At 40.7% G+C, this 21,273-nt stretch overlaps 1 protein-coding gene across 9 annotated transcripts in view; it reads left to right on the plus strand.

Moving 5' to 3' along the window:
• The window catches only part of PACRG (parkin coregulated), a 588,369-nt gene that overhangs the window by 388,483 nt on the left and 178,613 nt on the right, over window positions 1-21,273 (plus strand). Inside the window, exon 5 of one of the 9 annotated variants that reach the window (XM_006715344.5) lies at window positions 8,949-9,533. The exons of 7 other annotated variants lie outside the window; for them this stretch is intronic. In XM_006715344.5, coding sequence (XP_006715407.1) covers window positions 8,949-9,001 — 53 coding nt within the window. In that variant the 3' untranslated portion in view covers window positions 9,002-9,533. One more of the 9 variants, XM_006715345.5, reaches the window with a different exon arrangement.

Raw genomic sequence — 21,273 nt, forward strand, 5'->3', positions numbered from 1 at the left:
TTGACGGACTTGAGTTGAAAATAAAAACAAGCAGGACGAGGCTGCGATTGCAATGTGAAGTCAGCATGCATCTACTGTAATTTATTCAAATCCAACCAGGCCCAGAGAGCAGGCCAGGCCCCCTTCTGTCCACTCCACCTTCCACGCTACTCTTGGGTCCACACTCTGGAGAGACCATGAGATCAAACATAAGAATCCTGCATTCCTCTGTCAGTTTCAGCTCTTCACCTGCCTCTGAAGTGTAGTAATTACGTCATGGCCCTCCAGTGCAACCACGCCCTAACAGAAGCGAGCCACTTCAGCTGCTGCATCTATTCCAATGCTGGAAGAAAAGCTATTCATGCCTATGGGCATTTGGGGCCTATAGGACCTTAATCCCTGCTTGCCCTCCCAAGCTGAGATATAGTTACACTTCTAGAGGACAGGGAAACTTCCTGAGGGGTGTATTAGTGCATTCTCACACAGTTGTAAGGAAATACCTGAGACTGTGTAATTTATAAAGAAACAAGGTTTGATGAGCTCATGGTTCTGCAGGCTGTACAGGAAGCATAGCGGCTTCTGCTCCTGGGCTTCTGCCTCAGGAAACTTACAATCGTGGCAAAAGGCGAAGGAGAAGCAGGCCCGTCTTACATGGTTGGAGCAGGAGCGAGATTAGGGAGCAGATACTACGCACTATTAAATGACCAGATCTCAGATGAACTCATACACTATCGTGAGGACAGTACTGAGGGGGAAATCCGCAGCCATGATCCAATCACCTCCCACCAGGCCCCACCTCCAACACTGGGGACCACAATTCGACGTGATATTTGGGCAGGGAAATAGGTCCAAACTGTATCAAATGGGGGGGATGTGTCTGGGTGGAAGTGAGTCTTTTATATATTTGGAGTGATTGAGAGAGTCAGAACAACAGTGTGTGCAGAGCGCTCTTGGTTGTAGAGACCAGCGACAGCAGTCCAGGTATGACGGAAATGAAAATGTTAGCCATGGCTTAGCAAAGGTCTTTTGAAAGAAACGAGTGTAGATGTTTGCTCATGGCACTATTTCTAGGGCTTAGGTCAGGGGCTCAAGGGCCATTCTCAAGGGTTTGCACCAGGATAATGGAGAGGAGGAAAAAGCCTGAGAAGTTGGCACCTTAAAATCAGCAAGACTGAAGAGTTCATTAAGTATGGGCTGCAGAGAAGAAGATGATTCAAAAATGACTGAGAAGCTTGGGTGTTAGGATGGTGATGCCGTTTTCAGCACTGGAGAACACAGGAGACGCAGGTGGTGCATTGAGTCCTGGACGTGGTGAGTCGGAGGTGCTGCAGGGATCCCCAGACGAGCACTCACAGAAGCAAGTTGGAAGGGCAGGCTCTCCATGCCTGTCCCGTGGCCAGCATCATTTCTCCACTCCCTGTCACCCTCGGAGGAAGAGTTTCATCCAAAAGCTGGGTGAGCATGCCCAGGTACAGCTAGGAAAGTGGAAAATCAGAAAGCCAGGAGAGGAAAATCAGAAGTTGAATAAAAGGAGGATGAATTCAGGGAACACTCATCCCACACTGTCTAGCGTTACCCTTCAGGGTCCCTGCAAACCATCTAGGAAAGAGCATCACAGTGGAACTCCCAGTCACACTTGTGAATGTGGAACCCTTCTTGGTGCCAGCAACAAGTACAGAATTACTGAGTGGCCCCTGTGCTGTGGCTTCAGCTCACTGCTCAAGGGCAGGGGCCACCTAGAGACTGAGGCCGCCTGGCTCCAGCCACTGGGGAGGTTTCCTACCCCAGCACTAAGGAGGCTGGTGGTGAGGGCTCCCAGGAAATCAGAAAGGTCATGAAAGGAGTGGAGGTTTTGAGATTGCAAAAGAAAATTTCTGGCCAGGTCCAGTAGCTCATGCCTGTAATCCCAGCACTTTGGGAGGCCAAGGTAGGTGGATCACTTGAGATCAGGAGTTGGAGACCAGCCTGGCCAACATGGTGAAACCCCATCTCTACTAAAAATACAAAATGAGCTGGGCTTGGTGGTGGGAACCTGTAATCCCAGCTACTCAGGAGGCTGTGGCAGGAGAATTGCTTGAACCTGGGAGGCGGAGGTGGCAGTGAGCCGAGATTGCACCACTGCACTCCAGACTGGGTGACAAGAACGAGACTCTGTCTCAAAAAAAAAAAAAAAAAGTTTCTAATGAAAAAGGGAGGCAAGGTCACTATGTGGAGATTAGATAATCAAACTCTGAAACTGTTCAGCTGGGTAGAAGAAAGCAAGATCATGGATGTGACAATGTGTTGATGTTCATGCTTGTTGTCTTACCTAATGTACAGGCAGAGAATTGACAACATGGCTGTTCTTAAAATTAGGTTGAGGTTTAAGAGAACTAAGCCTGTAAGAGTGATGAAGGCTGACTTAAGCATTCCGTCTTAACTGGGACATAGAAAACCTCGAGTCTGCTATTGACTCTGTCAGTAATTCATTATGTGGCATTATATATATAGTCTCTGTGCATTAGGGGAGAAACCGAGGTGAAAACAGGAATTATTTCCTCAGAGCACACTGACTGCCAAGGTGTTTATACACTGCACAAGGAAGAGGAAAATAATACTTGCCACCTACCTACCCATTAGGGGTGACGTCTGGAGAGAGGCATTCAATTTTCGGATGAACGGGTTTATGAATAGCAGCGTATCACCTGCTTCTGATCTGTCTTATTTTTGCATCAATTCACCTCCTGAGTGATAGTGGCAATGGTGCCACTTGTCCTTTGAGTCACTGATTCCATGTCTCCTCACCCAGGGCATGTGGAAGGGAAGGTTTGAGAGAAGTGAGGCCCCATTCTTTAAGGTGTGATAGAACATTACTAATTAAACACAAAAAAATATTTTTTAAGCAAAGTTACTGCATGGCTAATGTATTTTATTTATAGATCCCCGTTTCTGGGTCCTTTAAAGGAAAACTGTTATTCATGTTAGGCTGATCCTACCTTACCTATGTCACTTGCTAACTTAGTAAAGAACTCTTTTTAAAAATTCAGAGAGTGTCATATTTATTTTCCATACATCTTGTCATTTACTATATATGTTTGTAAACAAATATGTTCCATTTCTTAGGAGACATCTGGTTTCTAACTGGTTTGACTTAATAAGGTAACAGAAGTTCCATGTTCAATCTGCCTTCAAGGGTTGCATTCTCTTAGTGATTTAATGCTTCAAATAGTGTTTCATTCAAGGGCAGATTCTGATTCTCTATTTCTCTCCTCTCACCTCCTCTTTCCTTCTCAGACATGTGGGAAGTGACCCTTGCATAGAGACTCGGAAAAACTCTGAAAACAGAACACATAAAGCTTTAGGATATTTTCAATGACCCATTCCTGTTCTTTCCTTTACTTGAAAAAGTTCAGAAAGTCCAGGTCTAGGTCACATTCTAAGAGAGCTCACCCAGAGTGGACTCTGCTTAACCAAAGCCTTCAAGGGGCTCTTTCAGGCATGAGCAGGAAAATACATCCACAAGAGTCCCCGCTGCATGCAGATCCCAGGGCCATCTGCTGTGCTCTCAGAGATGCTCATTGTTGTCATTTAACTGCGAGGGCCACAGAGGGGACAACTGCAGATTCCTGCTCTACAGCTAGACTCCTGGGGCCCAATACAGGCCACAGCTCTTCGCAGCCATGAGATATGCGAGCACGCTGCCTAACTCATCTGTACCACCATGTTCTCGTCTGTGAAACTTGGGTATTAACAGTACTTACCTCATGGGTTTGTTTCAAGGATTGAGTCAATATTAGCAAAGCATTCAGGACACCACCTGGCACCCAGTGAGTGTGACGTAAATAGTAAAGAAATTGGCTTTTCCTGGCACGATGATCAAGTGATTGGTGCCCAGCAGCTCTAAGCAAACTGTCTTTGAAGGGAGAGAAGAAGCCCCAGCAGAGATTGTTCAGAACAGCTCAACGTCATGCAGGAGTTGCTCAGCTACACCCATCTCGGGATGATGGAGACTCCAAGTGTTACGTATTTTGCAAGCTTCATAAATCTGACCAGATATAGACAGGAGATTGTAACCTGTGCTTTTTGTTTATGAATCTTGTATTGAGTTGTTGAAGATGGTTAGGACAATTTAATGTTGCATAAAAACCACTTCTTGTAACATCTTAATAGTGAGAATAGGAGGGTCAAGGCAAGAAAAGTGCTGAGAAAACAATCCCCCCAAAAAGTTTCTCTCTTAATTTCAACATCATTTTATGTATTTTTGTTGTTGTTGTTGTTGGTTTGTTTTATAGCTTTAAATGTTAGGATTACATTTTGGGGCTTATTATTCAAATCAAATATCTGGCACCATTCATTTTCTGCTTCCACATTTGAAAGACCAAATGTTCATCATTTCTGGTGTCGGTTCAGCCTCTGGCCTCCTTTCTAAGACACATTTTGTAGAGTATTAGTTTTCCCATTCATAGCACGAGAAAAATAATACATTCCTTTTTTATAATAGAAATGTGATTTGAGGTTGCTTACAGAGTAGGTAGAGGTTTAGGGGGAAAGGCTGTGTTTTGTGTGGCTCTAGGATGAATTATATGAAATAAGATAAGAGGGAAAGCTATAGTGGGTCACTTGAATACTGACCTAGTATTCAACTGTTTTTGAAAAGAAGTTCTGCTCTGCTGTAACTCCTGCTGGCCTTCCAGAAGCATCAGCTGTGTCACACCACAAGTCTTAAAGGATCTCCCTTGTTTCCACTGCACATCTGCCCCCATGAATAAACTAAGTGGGCAACATGGTCATGGTTATGTGTTCTTAGCTACTCTGTCCTCAGTGTGTGAAATGCCCACCTTTAGGGGCGCTGTTGGGGTGAGGCATTTTAGCTCCCAAAGGATCCTATTAGAGTTTGAAGGCCCTGAGACCAGACAGCCACACTGCACAGAGGGGCAGCCTGGACCCACGGGACATGAGATGAGTTAATCCACAGTTAGCCAAGAGGTTACCGCAGAGGTAGATATTCACTTATTCAAAATTTAAGTGCCTACTATGTGCAAGGCAGAAATCTGCGTCTACTTTCTCCTCATCAGCAAAAGTAGTTCTACTTTTGTTTTTGGTTTTTCTTTTTAAGAAAAAAAAAATACTGTGGACTTCTGTATAATACTCATTTTAGCCAAAGAATTCTGCAACTGAAGAGTTTGAGTCAGTCTCCATGGCATCCCTGGATGAGTTCTGGTCATGAAGGAGCTCAAATGATCCTTGTCAGCCGGGGGAATAAGCTAGACCCAGGCCCTCCCATGCCTGGCCTCATTCCTTTTTCAAGGGAACAATGCCATACCTCACTAGACCCTAGCTATACATTCCTCCAGCCAAATGCCAGGAAGCATCTGACCATGAGACTTTAAGAGCAAAATGTTGCTTAAAGAAAAAAATGGGAGCTGTTCTAAATTCAAGAGCTAATAGATATACTCTTCCATTTTCTATGGTCAAAGTCATAACATAACAACATCACTACAAATTTAAGAAATAGCTACAGTTAATTCAGTAGATATTGTAGTGAATGAATGCCTGAAATATGGTTTGAGGGTCACATATTTAACCTCATCAAACCTCAATTTATTCATCAAAAAATAGAAGTGATCATTATTTTGTTGTGAAGAACAAATATTATAAAGGACCTTATAAACCATAAAGCATTATACATAGTTTATCCTTCTCTTTTCCATTCCTTAAGCAGGACTGTCAGTGCAATTGCCTTATATTTTAGTGCTATGGAGTACCCTTATCTTTTTGCTAAATATTACAAATCCTTTTGCTTACAAATTAGTCTGTCACTTCTATTCGATGGATTATCTGTCTACCTCGGGGCTTCTGTGATGCACAGAGTCATGGGCTCACTCTCTTTGGCTCATCTTGTAGGTTTGCAATCACTCTTACAACTGTCACTTCCAGCCGATCCAGGACTGCTGCGGCCTCTCTGCTCTGAAATACACCTAGTATGTGAATTTCACATCACTTCTCAGTCATAAAACAGACCCATCAGAAGCTCATTTTCCTAAGTTTATTTTAAATTTATAGAGCATTCATTTCATCCTTCTCGGTAATCTTTTTTTTTTTTTTTTTTTTGAGACAGAGTCTCCGTCTGTCACCCAAGCTGGAGTGCAGTGGCACGATCTCAGCTCACTGCAAGCTCCGCCTCCTGGGTTCACACCATTCTGCCTCAGCCTCCCGAGTAGCTGGGACCACAGGTACCCGCCACCATGCCTGGCTAATTTTTTGTATTTTTAGTAGACACGGGGTTTCACCATGTTAGCCAGGATGGTCTCAATCTCCTAACCTTGTGATCTGCCTGCCTCGGCCTCCCAAAGTGCTGGGATTACAGGTGTGAGCCACCACGCCTGGCCGGTGATCTTTTTCTCTTTCTCTTTTTTCTTTTCACTTGCTGCTATTCTATACATGCGGAGGAGTTTTTGGAAGGAAAAGAGGGCGCCTTATTAATGGTCATTTTCTACTAATGGTGATTTTGATACTATTAGATACCTACTATGGGCATTGAAATTGGTCTCTAGTTCCATTGAGAAGAGTAGAAAAATTTCTAGTATAAGTACATTCATAATGTTTAGATAATATCTTGAGAAAAAAATAGACAAATTCACAAGTTCTTCTTTGACTTGATAGATTTCTGAGTTCTCATGTGTTTGTCCATCTTCATTCTGCTTTAACGCATTTACACACACACACACACACTTCCTTTTCTATTTGTTCAGCTTTACTGAGATGTAATTGTGCTATAGTTGGTTTGTGTGACCCCTCCGAATCGCTTGTTGAAATTTGATCCCCACTGTTAGAGGTGGAGCCTACCGGGCGGTGTTTGGGTGGTACAGGCAGATCCCTCGCGAATGGCTTGGTGCCCTGCCCATGGTAATGGGTGAGTTCTCACCCTGCTGTTCCCACAAGAGCTGTTTGTTTAAAAAAGCCTGGCACCTCCCCCTCGCTCTCTCGCTTCCTCTCTTGCCACATGATCCCTTCGCAACAGCTCCCCTTCGACTTCCACTGTGACCAGATGCAGCCCCAGAAGTAGACACTGGTGCCACGCTTCCTGTGTAGCCTGCAGAATCGGAAGACAAAAAACCCCTTTCCTTCATAAATTACCCAACCCCAGGTATTATTTTATAGCAACACAAGTGGACTAAGACAAATTGGTATATGAAAACCACACATAATTAATGTGTACAATTTGGTGAGTTTGGAGGTATACATACATTTATGTTACCATCACCACAACAAGGAGACAGACACATCCATCATCTCCAGAAGTTTCCTTTTGCGTGTCTGTGTGAGGGAAGAAAACTTAACATAAGACTACTGATACAGCTCCGAAGACTGGAGAAACACCAGGGTCCTTTGTCTCATGCCAATGCTATTAACGACAAGGACACCCGTGGAGTGGTTTTAAGGAGCGGAGAGTTTAACAGGCAAGAAACAAGAAAGAAGAAAACAGCTCCCCGGTACAGAAGGAGCTGGGCTCCTAACGGAGAAAAACCCCGTGTGCCCAGGAAAAACAGTTGTTTATACCTGGAGGCTGGAGGAGGCGGTGTCTGATTTGCTTAGGGCCCAGGGGATTGGCTTGACCAGGTGTGTCATTCACATAGCCAACCTGGTCCTCCCACCCTAGCCTTTTAATATGCAAATGCGGGTCGGCATGATGTCCTGCACACGTGGTGTTATTTGGAGGCAGCCATGACAGCTGTGGTGACAAGGAGAAGAGGGCGGGAACCGCCATGTCGGGTGGACCTGGTTTTTAGCTGCTGGCATTTACATATCAATGTTGCCAGCCTGGTTTTTCAAGCTGCTTTCTGTTAGAAAGGAAATGGTTTGGGGGGTCGCTTTTTATTATAGGAAAATTCCACCAAGAACTCTCACCCTTTCTAGCTGCCTAAAAATTATTTCTTAATAACTCCTATATTACTACCCTCCTAACAGAATTTTAAGTGCACAATACCTTATCGTTAACTCTAGGCACCGTGTTGTACAGGAGATCTCTGGAACTTATCTTGTGTAACTGTAATTTGATAATCCATTGAACAGCAACTCTGCATATGCCCCCTCTCCATCCGCTAGTAACCAGCGTTCTATTGTCTACTTCTGTACATCTGACTATTTTTAGATGCTCCATATAAGAGGAATCACTCAGTATTTCTTCTTCTCTGACTATTTCACCTAGCATAATGTCTTCCAGATCTGTCCGTGTTGTCACAAATGGTAGTATTTCCTTCTTTTTAAAGCCAGGATAGTATTCTACTATATGCATATACCACATTTCATTCATCAGTGGACAATTGGGTTGCTTGCACATCTTGGCCACTGTGAAGGATGCTGCAGGGAACATGGGAGTGCAGATGTTTCTTCGAGATCACAATTTCAGTTCTTTTGGGTATATACCCAGCAGTAAGATTGCCTGCTTATATGGTATTCTATTTTAATTTTTTGAGGAACCTCCATGCTGCTTTCCATAGTGGCAGCAGTATGTATTCTTTGGAGAAATGTCTATTCAAGTCCTTTGCATGTTGTAATTGTGTTTTTTGGGAGTTTTCACTAGTGAGTTGTAGGAGCTCTTTGTATATTTCAGAAATTAACTCCTTATCACATACATGGTTTGCAAATATGTTCTCCCATTGCATAGGTGGCCTTTCCACTCTGTTGATTGTTTCCTTTGCTGTGCAGAAATTGATGCTGGGGGAAAAAGGGGATTTGAAGTATAGGCCAACTTCAGAACAATTTGACCAGGACTTGCTAAGTTTTTTTTTAAATTAGGAAAATACATAGAATGTGACTTAAAAAAATAATCAATTACCTAAGACCTTGTCTACTGGGTCTTAAGTTGAATTTCTAAATTCTGGAGCCAACTATGTGACCTTGGGCACGTGAACAAAAGTTAATTCTATAAACTAGTTTAAATCCTGTAGGAATATAACATTATTTTATTTTATTTTATTTTTCTTAAGAACTTTTTGGAAAAGAGGCTGAGGAGGTTAGGAAAGAGCCTCTGATTTTATGAAGAAATGTCCAGCATTTCCCCAGGAATGGGATTCCACACAAGAACACCAGCTGGAGCAGTGCCGTAGAGTCAAAGGAAGGAAGAGGCTGCAGTTCGGCACCAGTGGGGAAGCCAAGGGCATCTTGCATGCTGGCACCTTCGAGAGGCCGTACAGCTGGAGGGTGCACTTTGCATTGCCCCATGTAGGCTCTGTAATTAATATGGCTGTAAATTTTGAAAAACTGTTATTCTGGCAGTCAAAAATAATCCCCTATATATAGGCATCATGTAAACTTTTAAAACGTCTTTCACATCCTTCAAAATGTATAATCTCATGAATTACAGTCTCATGAAAATATAGCAAATAAATATTTGGAATTATAAGAGAGGAAAAAATAAAGAAGTGAAAAGGATTTGCCCTACTCCAAACAAAGCAATGCAATTGTGCAACGGAAGGATAAGTCATAAGAAAACAGTAGAGCGTTCAGAAAAAACTCCAAGAGTGTATGTGGGAATGTAGAAATTCAATAAAGGTGATATTTTAAATCAGCAAGGAAAGACTAGATTATTTATTAAATGAAATTGAGTTAATTGATTCTCCATTTAGAAGAAAATAAAGTCAGGAGGTATGTCTCATAGCAGTCTCCAGATACTTTTAAGGATGTTTAAAGATTTAGGTGTAAAAATATTAAATCTATAAAAGTACTAGAAGAAAATATAATTTTGTTAAATAATTTCAGAGTGAGGAAGCCATTTTCAACCACAGAACAGGTTCTAGGAAGTATAAGGAAAAGATTGATGGGTCTGACTATATAATATAAACTTAAAACTCACATACAGTGAAAAAACTCAATATAGAGCTGCACAGCAAACGGCAAATTGGAACAACATAATCTCAACACATGCAACAGTAAAGGCTTAATGCCCAGACCTATGAAAGACCCCTAAATAGCTATAAGAAAAAGACACACAACTCAATAGAAACAGCAATTCAGAAAAGAAGCATAGTCAAAAACAATGAAGAAATGAGCTACCTCATTAACAGTAAATTCAAACCGCTATGAAATATAACCTCCAGTTTTTATGAAATTCCAAGGAAATGGACATTCTTGTTAACAGTTGATGAGAAGGCAAATAAGCATGATGTTTTTGAAAGATAATTAGCTTTCTTTTAATACTAAGTGTGTATACCATTCAACCCCTAAACTCTACTCCTAGGAAACTATCCCACAAGAAATAACAACACAGATGTCAAAATAGTAAGAATTTCTGAATTTTCTGAAATAGTAAATATTTCTGTGCAGCATTTTAATCAAATGATACATATGTTCTGCCTTAGGAAAAAGGAGCACAGTTTATTGTAACATAAAACATGCACATATACATACAAACACTTACACATTGCAGATCAAAATGAGCTGTCTACATTTATCTGACAGATGGTCTGTGTGTCTGTACGTGTGTATATACATACAAAAACACTTACGTATATCCTAGTAACAGCATAGGAAAAAGATTGGACGAACAGGCACCTAACTGTGATGATTCTTTGGGGGTCAGGGGATTGCTGGGATGATAAATTTTTATTTCAAACAAAGTATGCCAAATGACGCTTTCATTTATAAGATACCAAAATACAATGGCGTTCAATTTCACTCAGTAGCATATGCAAAGAATTGTCTCATTAACCTCTGAATCAGGCCTTTCACCTTTTGCTGGAATGGCTGACCTTGAGACCAAACACTAGAACCACCCATGGAACACCTGTTGAATACATTAATCCCCCTAGATGAGCCTTCCCACTTCTGTTCATTTCACAGAACTAATTTCTATGGCATTTTATTTTTACACAACATTGAAACCAAGATTGTCTTTGGTATTTATGAGGGCATTTACAAAAGGAACAGAGCAAATGCGGTTGAGACAGGTCACAATAATTCTCTCTGTCTCTCTGACACCCAGTGTTTCAAGCTTCACCTTCCTTTTACACATACTCAATTAAATTAAAATACAACGTGCAAAGAAAGCAATGGCGAAAGAATCTGAAAGGGCACTGCAGAGGTGAAAATCAAATAACCTCATATAAACCTTTCCTATTAAGAGTGAATATATTTAGATTTTTAAAAATAAAAACCCAGAATAATTATGAAAGCAAAATGCCACAGACCCAGATAGACAGGGAAAGAAAATAAAGGTGCTGTAAATCCACAAGGCCCATGGTGTTCACATTTCTTCTTGTTTTGCTCAGCTCTGAGCTGCTGGCAGGTGTTGACCCGAAGGGGAGTCTATCCAGGCACCCAGGTAGCACTGCTGGCCAGGTCAGATGCCACTGGAGGGAGGGTGGAAACACAGGTCAAGTGCTCTTGAGCCCCTCCCCATCTCTCACCCCAGCTCTTCATCGCTAAGTAGCTGGGAACTGACTACGTAGCATCAATTACACACGTACAACTCTGAGGAGTTGTCAGACTTTAGCCCTAATAGTGCCTTCAGTTTTTTTATGAGACTATGTAAATGAATGCCAACAGGGTCAATGAAGTGGCAAGTGCCATTTCTAACATTTAACAAAAGTGGCGTCATTTCCAGAGCTCTGCCCAGCTCTGACTCTTTCTCCTGGAGGGTGCAAAAAGAAAAACAGAAACTTTTCTCGAAGGCATCATATTTCAGACAAGTATTGTTTCAATTATGACATTTTGTCAAATTGTGAAGTTTAAAGGACAAATTGCCTCGGCCTATTCCTGCTTAAGCCTTTTCATGCCACTTATGGAAAATAGCCTGTGCTTTTAATGGGTATTTTGTCAGTTAATATTGCCATGGAGAGAGAACAAGCTGTAGCTTCCTTCTGCTGAGACTTGAAGCCCCATGAAGGACAGACTTGTCTGTTTTGTCCACTGCTTGTCTCTAGGTCTGCCGCACAAGTGTGTCCTTCACATTCACTATTGTTAAATAAGAATCTTCAGGTCGCCTTATAACTGCACACCCTCAATTGGATTAATTCTTATTAGTTTCCCCTTCCTGGGCTATAGAATTAGGTTAGTCATGACACTGAAGTTGCAAAATGCTTGACATAGAAAAGTGTGTATGCTCTCTGTCATATATGAAGAAGTCTTTATCTTTACATTTACAGAAATAGTTTATCGTAAAGTCTTGTCATTTGAGTCTCACCATGTCATCAGGACACAATGTGCCATAACTTCCACACATGCTTGTAGCTCAGAGTGCACAGTTTAGCCTGATGACAGCCTGCTGATTATTTATAAATTAACAGATCCAGTGGAAATATTATATCTTTTGTTTGGCAGAAATATATATTTTAATATGTCTCACTTGTTTTTGTAATCCATCTCATAACATGAACTTTAGAATATGTACTATGTATTTTTAAAGGTATTTCTTTGTTCCTTGATTGTGGTTTATTATTTTTCAAACAGCTTCAAAATTTCCAATTTCCAGAAGATTTTTAAATTTAAAGTGTAATTGTTTTAAAATACCAAAATTGGTGAGATTATTGAAGAAGATGATTCTCTCTACTCAGGAAAGCCACTTAAAATTGGATGAAATTGAGGAAGTACAGCAAAAGCTTAATTCTCAGGATATTAATCTAGGCTTTCTTTGGAACAAGAAGCAGGGCTGAGAAATTGCCCTCAGTTGTAAATGGAAAATGAGTTTAAGCATCCTCCTAAAGAATCATAATTTAGTTCTAGTCAGAAGTAGCTGAGCAGGAGAAAACTTGATTACTTAAAGGCACTAAGTATATTAGGAAACGAAATACAAATACCTTCAACCAGGGCCGCTGCTGCAGTCTGGCTGTGTAAGGTCTGGTATTCTGATGGAAACTGATAGGCTCCATTAGAGATGTCTATCATGTAGAAAATGAATTTAGGATGCCTTTGTCATTTCTCTTGTCTGTAGGCTGAGCTTTTTTAAAAATTGAGCTATATTCATGCAAGTTATATAACTTAATTTACTGCTGAAATGGAAGCTAAAGTGGTTAGTGCAGTGATACTCAGCCTCAGAGGCTTTAAAACACTGGCAGATTGTTCACACAGAATTGTGCCTGATTTGCCTGATGCATGCCATTAGGATGATCATGGACAAGATCTCAGACTGTCATTTAGCCAAAACTGTGTACATATTATGCATAGAACAACTCACCCAAAATTGATAGCTAATGGGAAAGTTTCCAACTAAATAAAGATTTGGAATCCATTTACCGCTCAGTAAGCTATTTTTGCTCCATATCATCAAGTTTCCAGAAGTAACTGCTCCTTACATATATTCTAAAGAACGTATAATAAAAAAGCCCAGTGACAAAATTTGATTTGATATATATCTCATCCATCTGTTTTTTTTGGTAGAAACCTAGGTGGTATGTGTTAAATGTTAAGTATAAGAGAATTCTCAATATTTTAAAAATAACTCAAAATATTGAGGAAAACACCTAAAACCCATTGATGATTGTGGTAGCTCAGGCTCTAACAGTTTCTTAAAATGTGTCCATGTACACACTGGGTTAGAATCACTGTTCTCATTTACAAGTAGAGCTTCCTAGGCCCCACGATTCTCATTCATTCCTTAAATGAGAATGGGGGGGAAGTTGGGGAAGGGTCTGGAATTTGCATTTAAACAATTTGAGCGCGATTTGAACATGCATTCAAATTCCAGAACCCCTGCTTTGATATTATGTCAATGATTTTGGAGGCAGATTTAGTCCCGTCACAGGACATTGTCGTTTTTTAGGTGCCCAGGTTTCTTGTGACTTCATCCATGAGATGGCATGTACAGTACCTGAGTACCTGCCACTGGGCAAAAAGATGACCAGGTGAGAGACGAAGGAATGAGACTGCAGCCCTCACCATCAGGGCACAAACACCCCAGTCTCACATTCCGTCAAGAGTCGTTCTATTACTTACATGTCATCCACTCTAGACAGTGCCTACATTTCAATGTTGAGCGTGTTCCTTGTTTTCTTATGATTAGAGGTGACACAGTACTCTGTGTCCAGTGGCCGCCCAGGTTTTTGAGGTAAGCAAACACTGTCCTCCTGATCAGCAGCCTCCATCTTCCTACTGATCACAGGGCAGCGTGGCAGTGGTTAGGAGCACGGACTCCACCTCTTTCCGACTGTACATCCTTGGCCAAGGTATCCAACCTCACACTCAGTTTCCTTCCTACCTCACACTCAGTTTCCTCCCTCAGTTTCCTCATCTACATCATAAGGGTAACAGTAGTTTTGGCTGTGAGGATTAAATGGGTTTATATTTACAGAATGCTTAAAACAGTGCTTGGCAAATTATAAGAGCTTATTTGGAAAAATAACAAGATTAGAAGGGGTGGATCATTCCAGAAAATTAAGGAATCAAAGAGAAAGATGGAGAGATTAACACCAATCTGGCAAAGGAAGCCTTCCAAAGAAAAGTGTACCTCATGTGTCTCTTATGGTTCCTGGGGACATAGTGGGACAAAAGAAGTAAAAGGAGAAATGGCAAAGGCAAAATAAGCATTGTCTTAGATAAGGAATGAGGGAACAATGAAGAAAACAGGGCTGCATAGTCACTTATATAACCACAAAGCCGCTTAGTCCTATGTGTGCCTTGACTATGTGTATCCCACTGGAATGAAGGTGGCTGCACTGAGCACCTTTGGGGGTGGAGGATGCTGAACAATGTTAGCAAACTGCATTGGATGTCACACCCAGCTTCCCTGTGTCTGTCCGGAGAACCCTCCTTTCTCCTGGTCTTCTATGCCCAACGTCTGGCTATTTCACTTTATTTTTTCTCCTCCCTTGGCCTTAAGTCAGGAACTAATTTTTCCCCACTTTGCCCTTCCTATGTCATTATTCTTTCCTTTCTTTCCTACTTTCTTTTCTGGTACCCTATTTTGAATGTGTGTCACCTTTAACTTCAGGTACATGAACAAGCTCTTAGCCAGTCTTTGGAAGCATCTGACCACAGCACCTCCACCACTTTTCTGTGCAAAACCCTTCAATGACCCTGCACAATAATGTCAAGACTTTATCAGTGATTTTCAAAGATTTTTCCCACTTTGGGCACAACGTGCCCTTCTAGCATCATCTCCCACTACTGGGCCTCTCCCCCATACCTAATCCTCCTCCTACAAGCCCTGCTCTTGCCAGGCTCAGCAAGCAGGTCCATGGACTGAGAGCACCTTTGCACTTAGCGGGTCCTTTGCCTGGGGTTGTGTCTGATCTGGCCCAGGAGCAGTTAGGGAAACGTTACTGGGCCAGAAGCACTGCAGGTGGGTGTACTGAGTTGAAAAGTCTCCCCGCAAGATCCATGTCCTTCCCAGAATCTCAGAGTGTGACCTTCTTTGGAAATAGGATTGTGTAATTAGTTAAGATAAGGTCCTACTGGAGTCGAGTGTGTCCTAATTCCAATACAACTGGTGTCCTCTTAAGAAGAGAAGGTACAGTCGGCCGGGCGCAGTGGCTCAAGCCTGTAATCCCAGCACTTTGGGAGGCCGAGGCGGGTGGATCACGAGGTCAGGAGATCGAGACCATCCTGGCTAACAGGGTGAAACCCCGTCTCTACTAAAAAATACAAAAAATTATCCGGGCGTGGTGGCGGGCGCCTGTAGTCCCAGCTACTCGGGAGGCTGAGGCGGGAGGATGGCGTGAACCCGGGAGGCGTAGCTTGCAGTGAGCCCAGATCACGCCACTGCACTCACTCCAGCCTGGGCGACAGAGCGAGACTCTGTCTCAAACAAAAAAAAAAAAAAAAAAAAAAGAAGAAGAGAAGTTACAGTCACACACAGAGGGAAGATGACATGAAGACAGTCACACACAGGGAAGAATGCCCCGTGAAGATGGACGCAGAGAGGGGGCCGATGCAGCTTCAAGCCAAGAAATGCTAAGGATTGCTGGCAACTACCAGAATTTGGAGAGGCGCATAAAACAAATTCTTCTCTTAAAGCCGTCAGAAAGGGTGGCCCTGTTGAGCCCTTGATTTTACACTATGAGACACTTGTTTTTAGTCACCAGGTTTGTGGTATGTTTTAAGTCACCAGGTTTGTGGTACGTTACAACAGCTGTAAGAAACTAACATGGCAGCTGTTGAATGTTAAGAGCCCTCAGCTGTGAATCGGAGCGATCCTACCTCCCTCACCACCGAAGAGTGTTGCAGGGATCAAACGGGCTAAGACGTGAGCGTGCTATTAGATGTGTAAAATTCTACACAAGGGTCGTTAAACTTTGACTTATTTTTTGAAAACCCTCCCATTCCCTTGCATAACCCCTACCACAATACTTTACCCATAAAATGCGTTCAATAGGCACGTGTTGAATGTTTTCATTTATTCATTTACTATATCACATTAATTTTATTTTAAAAGACCCAAACTTAGTCATAAGTAACATGGCTCATCTTCAAACTACTGCGTAGCCATTTGTGTGCAGCTTTGACTGCATGTGGTGTTATTTCAGAAAGATGTGATTTGGTTTGTCTAGCTGAATGTAAGTAATACATTCATTATAATACTAGCTTACTATATATTAATTTTAATATGCTCATGAAGTTAAATATCTGTGGATCTGAAAATAAGATTTATTTTATTTAAGATGAAAAAATTTGTTTTGACAAGATTGGCTGGTTTTATTTATGCCACTTACTAGAAATCTAATAAATACATATTTTATTTAACATGACTTTTTAATAGCATTCCTTTGAATTTACTCATCAGTAAATTTAATCAATCACCTTTTTAAGAAACAGAACAAACTTGCTAGTCCTAGCACCATAAGATGATCTCTTGCAAGGAAGTAAAGAAGAATCCAAACTTGAGTGCCAGGAATCATTATTGATAAGGTGAAGGAGAACAAGTTTCCCTTTTGATTCCCAACTTCTACTTGAAATATGACACCCAGAATGTGATTCTTTCTATATCCATTTCCTCTAAGAATCTTTGAGCAATTTGTGCGTGCCCTGTGGTTAATACAGCCTAGTCATAGCCCAGTGAAGCTGTCGGCAGTCCTGCTTAGAGCAGAAACACAGACCATGACAGTTACAAGCATGTGATCCACAGAGCCAGGAAAAGACCCTGAGACATAACCCACTTCTGTACCTCCTCAGTAGGAGCTATACTCAACTCATGAATTAATTTTGAGCTCTTAATGGCACTTATTAAATCCAGAAGAAAAATACCTAAATAATTCTTACTTATATTTAATAGCAATTTAGATTCCTGCAAGTGGGGACAAAAGCTTTATTTCACTTCCAAATGGACTTCAAATAACATCAATTGGATGTGCACTAGAAAAATATAATTTTAAAAGGTGTTCCCAAGAATTAGTAAAGAAGAAAAGTCATGGGAATTAGGGAGAGTAATTTCTAGGAAATTTTTATTGGCTGCTTTTGTCCACATGATATTTACAGTGTATGAGTTAGGTTAAGCTAGACTATACCAAAGTAACAGAATATACTACCAAATTTCAGTGGCTTAAGAATCAGTAAGTTGATTTATTTTTCAGGTTAATAGGCCAGTATTGGTCAGGTGCAGATGACTTGGGAGAAGAAGGATTTGCTCCATGCAGTTGTAGGGACATGTGGCCTCATGATTCTAGTCACAAGGTTGATGTTGTGGAGGAGGTTTTAATAGGCCAGGTCTGGAAGGAGTATGTATCACTTATACTTCTTCCATTGGCTAGAACTCAGTCACATGACCACACCTCACTGCGCAGGAATCTGGGAAATGTAGTTCATCAAACACTCAAGAATAAGTGGAACTGAATTTTAATCAATAACTACAAGTCTCTGCATCAAGGAGAAATGTGTACCTGATGTTTATCATGGAAGAGAAGAATAATTAGTTGACTTTTTGTGTATAATCCCCAAGCAAAAGAAGTCTGATTCATGCTAAATCTTCCTAAAACAGAAGTAGATCATTTGTGGGGAATATGTTATTAGAACACCCCTAGAGAGGAGCCTATTACCCAACTTCATTTTCCAGCTTCATTCTCTTGGCAGGAGACGTATTTCTCTTTCTGCCTGTCCACGGAGTCTGTGCCACAAGCAAAGAGATGCTGTATGTCTTGCCTATAAAGCAGGGCTGGGCTGCGAAGCTGTCGAGCCCGGTGCAAAATGGAAATGTGGAGCTCTTGATTCAAAAGCAGGAAAGCAATGTTACAAACTAAAATATAAAGCTTTTATCTTTCTTCCCCAGTCTCTCAATTTGCCATAGTGTTTTTTACTTGCTATTTAGCTGCATTCTAAGAAAAATTAAACATTTAAATATTGGCATGAATTTTACCGTTCATCTTAATATTGTGCAATTCCAATTTTAAACGTAAACATTTAAAACAGGGTCTAACTCATACGTGCAATCACTGAAACTAACTACACAATTTGAATTTCGTAACTTATATATGTGCATATACACTTTGTTCTTGCAAGAACAGCAGACATGTCGCATAAAACCAATTCACTTGTTTTTATTTCACTTCTTGAGACTCGCACATTCTACCAACATTCTACCTTCAGTTTACTGATGAATAAGGAAGAATGGAAAGGGAAAGAACTATGGGGTCCCCTATCTTTCCCTTCCGTTCCATGTCATCATTTCCTGCTTCAGTTGCTGGCTCCAACAAGAAAAGCACAGGAGTAAGAAAGGATATGATAGGGTTCATTGGTCACTATGTTTCTTAGAATGCCATTGCCTTCTTTCTGCATTCAAAGCAAGTTCTGGTTCAAACGAAAAGTTTGGCGTCTCGGGGCTGTAAGTACCCCTGCTTACTCAGTAGGAGATGTCACACATTTACCTTGACCCCTGCACACTGTGGGTTCACCAAAATTCTGTCTCCAATGGGCGTTGAAGAGACTTAAGCCACGCATAGAGCCCTTCTAAGTGCAGGGCCTCAAGCAACTTCATGTTCTGTACTATACTAAAGTTCTATACTAAAAGACACATATTTAGAGGAAGGATACCACAGACCAACACTGATGTCTACAGCAGCAAGAACTGTAGGACATGCCGTCAATTTTGTAATGGCTTTTAAGGGGAAAAAAATACTCTATTAATGTACATCTTAATTGGAAGGTGCATCCAAATTTCAGAAAAATGTAAAATAACAGGGGGAAAGCTTCAATTCCTGGAATTGTAGCACATCACATTCTTTTCCCTAATACCTACCTAACAACTACTACTACTAATGGACTAATATATGTTTTTAAATATTTCAAACATCCAGAAAAACATTGAGACTGATCTATGAATCCCTGTGTACCTACCAATCAACTTTATCAAATCTCAACAGTTTTTCCACATTTGCTTCACAAGATTCTTAAGGGGAAAAAAACATTTCGAATAACACCGACACCACCTGTGGACCCCTCCTGTACTTATTTGACCTCTCCTCCCTACTCTGAGGTGATGAGTTTCCTGAAATCATTCTTTATCATTCACACGCATACTTTTTTACTCTCAGTATATATATCTGTAACTAGAAACAATACATTTTTCACGTTGTGAATTTGATAAAGAACAGTATAATAATACTGTACATATCATTCTTCAACACGCTTTCTTATGCATCATTATTACTTTGAGATCTGTATTTCTACATGTGATTCTAGTTAAGTCATTTTTTTTTTTTTTTTAATTTTAGACAGAGTCTCGTTCTGTTGCCTGGGCTGGAGTACAGTGGCACAATCTCGGCTCACTGCAGCCTCCACCTCCTCGGTTCAAGCGATTCTCCTGCCTCAGCCTCCCAAGTAGCTGGGACTACAGGCACACGCCACCATGCCTGGCTAATTTTTGTATTTTTAGTAGAGACGGGGTTTCACCATATTGGCCAGGCTGATCTTGAGCTCCTGACCTCGTGATCCACCTGCCTTGGTGTCCCAAAGTGCTGGGATTCCAGGCATGAGCCACAGCACCCAGCCTTAGTTAAGTCATTTTAATAACTAACTAGTGTAATTGCATAAATATACCCCAATTTATCCATTTATTTGATTGTCATTTTAAATGTTTCTCCTTTCTCTTTATTATAAACAATGATTCGGGAAATCTTCTTCCGCATTTCTCTTAGTATATGTGAGCTGGAGTGATTTTAAGGTAAATACCTAGAAGTAGAAATGCTGGGCTGAAAGTTATGTGCATCATATCTTTACCTTTTCTACATGTGGCCAAATGGCTCTCCGATCTACAAGCCCAGAGGCAGTGTGTGAGGTGCATCGCTCGACAAGCCGGCTGACGCTTGTAAATGCCCAACATCTGAATCCTTGTTAAACACAGAAGTGCAAGATGTATCTTTAAATTTGCATTTTTCCCAATGACTAGTGAAGTTGAGCATCTTTTCTTGTATTAATCAAGTTTCTTTTCTAAAAATTGCCTATTTCAATGCTTTGTTCATTTTTTTCTGGGTTATGTATCTACTTTTTATCAATTTGTGGTATTTTATTCATTATGAATACTACTGTTTGGTCATATGTGTTTGCAGACTTTAGTTTTTGTGCCTATTTATTCGGTCTTTTACAAAAATAAGATTCTAAGTTTAATGTCATTAGATTCATCAAAATCCTCTCTTTGTGATTTCGGATTTTTGTACCTTGATTAAGACAACCCTCCATTCCCTGACATAGTAGTGTCATTGTCCCAATCTCAATTATTGACAGCATCACCCTAACTCCCTGCTCTGCCTCTCTCTGATGTGAAGTTTCCCTTTGTGCATGTGTTTTCTGCTTTTCTTGTTTTACCCACTGCAGGTATACAGTCCCTCCATCTCCTTCGAAATTATCTGGTCTGTTCTTAAACCTTTGTGTTTCTATTTGAATTTGAAGATCAACTTGTCAAGATCCATTTTAAAAATCTTGCTGGAATTATTTTTTGGAATTGCTTAGATTTACAGATTAGTTTATGGGAAATTTCCACGTTTAAGAGATTGAATTTTCCCTTCAGAAACAAAGTGCATATCTCCATTAATTTAGAATTTTTTATACTTCATTCATGTTTTTAAATTTTTTCCATAAAGATTTGCACAGCTTTCGTTAGTTTCAGGGTTCATTTTTTGAAAACACTTTGCTGTTTACTACAGTCCTTAGATTTCCTCTGTAACATAATCTCTTAAATTTATTCATAGTTATAACGGAAACTGTTGTACTACACCTTGATTTTTTGCCAATTTAGGGATTACTGAATGAACTAATGCAAAATCCATTTTATGCCAATCTATACACTTGGTTTTGAATAATTTATTCAACTAAATACTTTCTAAAGAGAATCATATGCGATGAATAAAAATATCTTGAATAGATTGGAAATGTTCCTGTTTTGTTTTCATTGTA

The sequence above is a fragment of the Homo sapiens genome, chromosome 6 (genome assembly GCF_000001405.40).
Source record: "Homo sapiens chromosome 6, GRCh38.p14 Primary Assembly".
Lineage (NCBI taxonomy): Eukaryota > Metazoa > Chordata > Mammalia > Primates > Hominidae > Homo > Homo sapiens.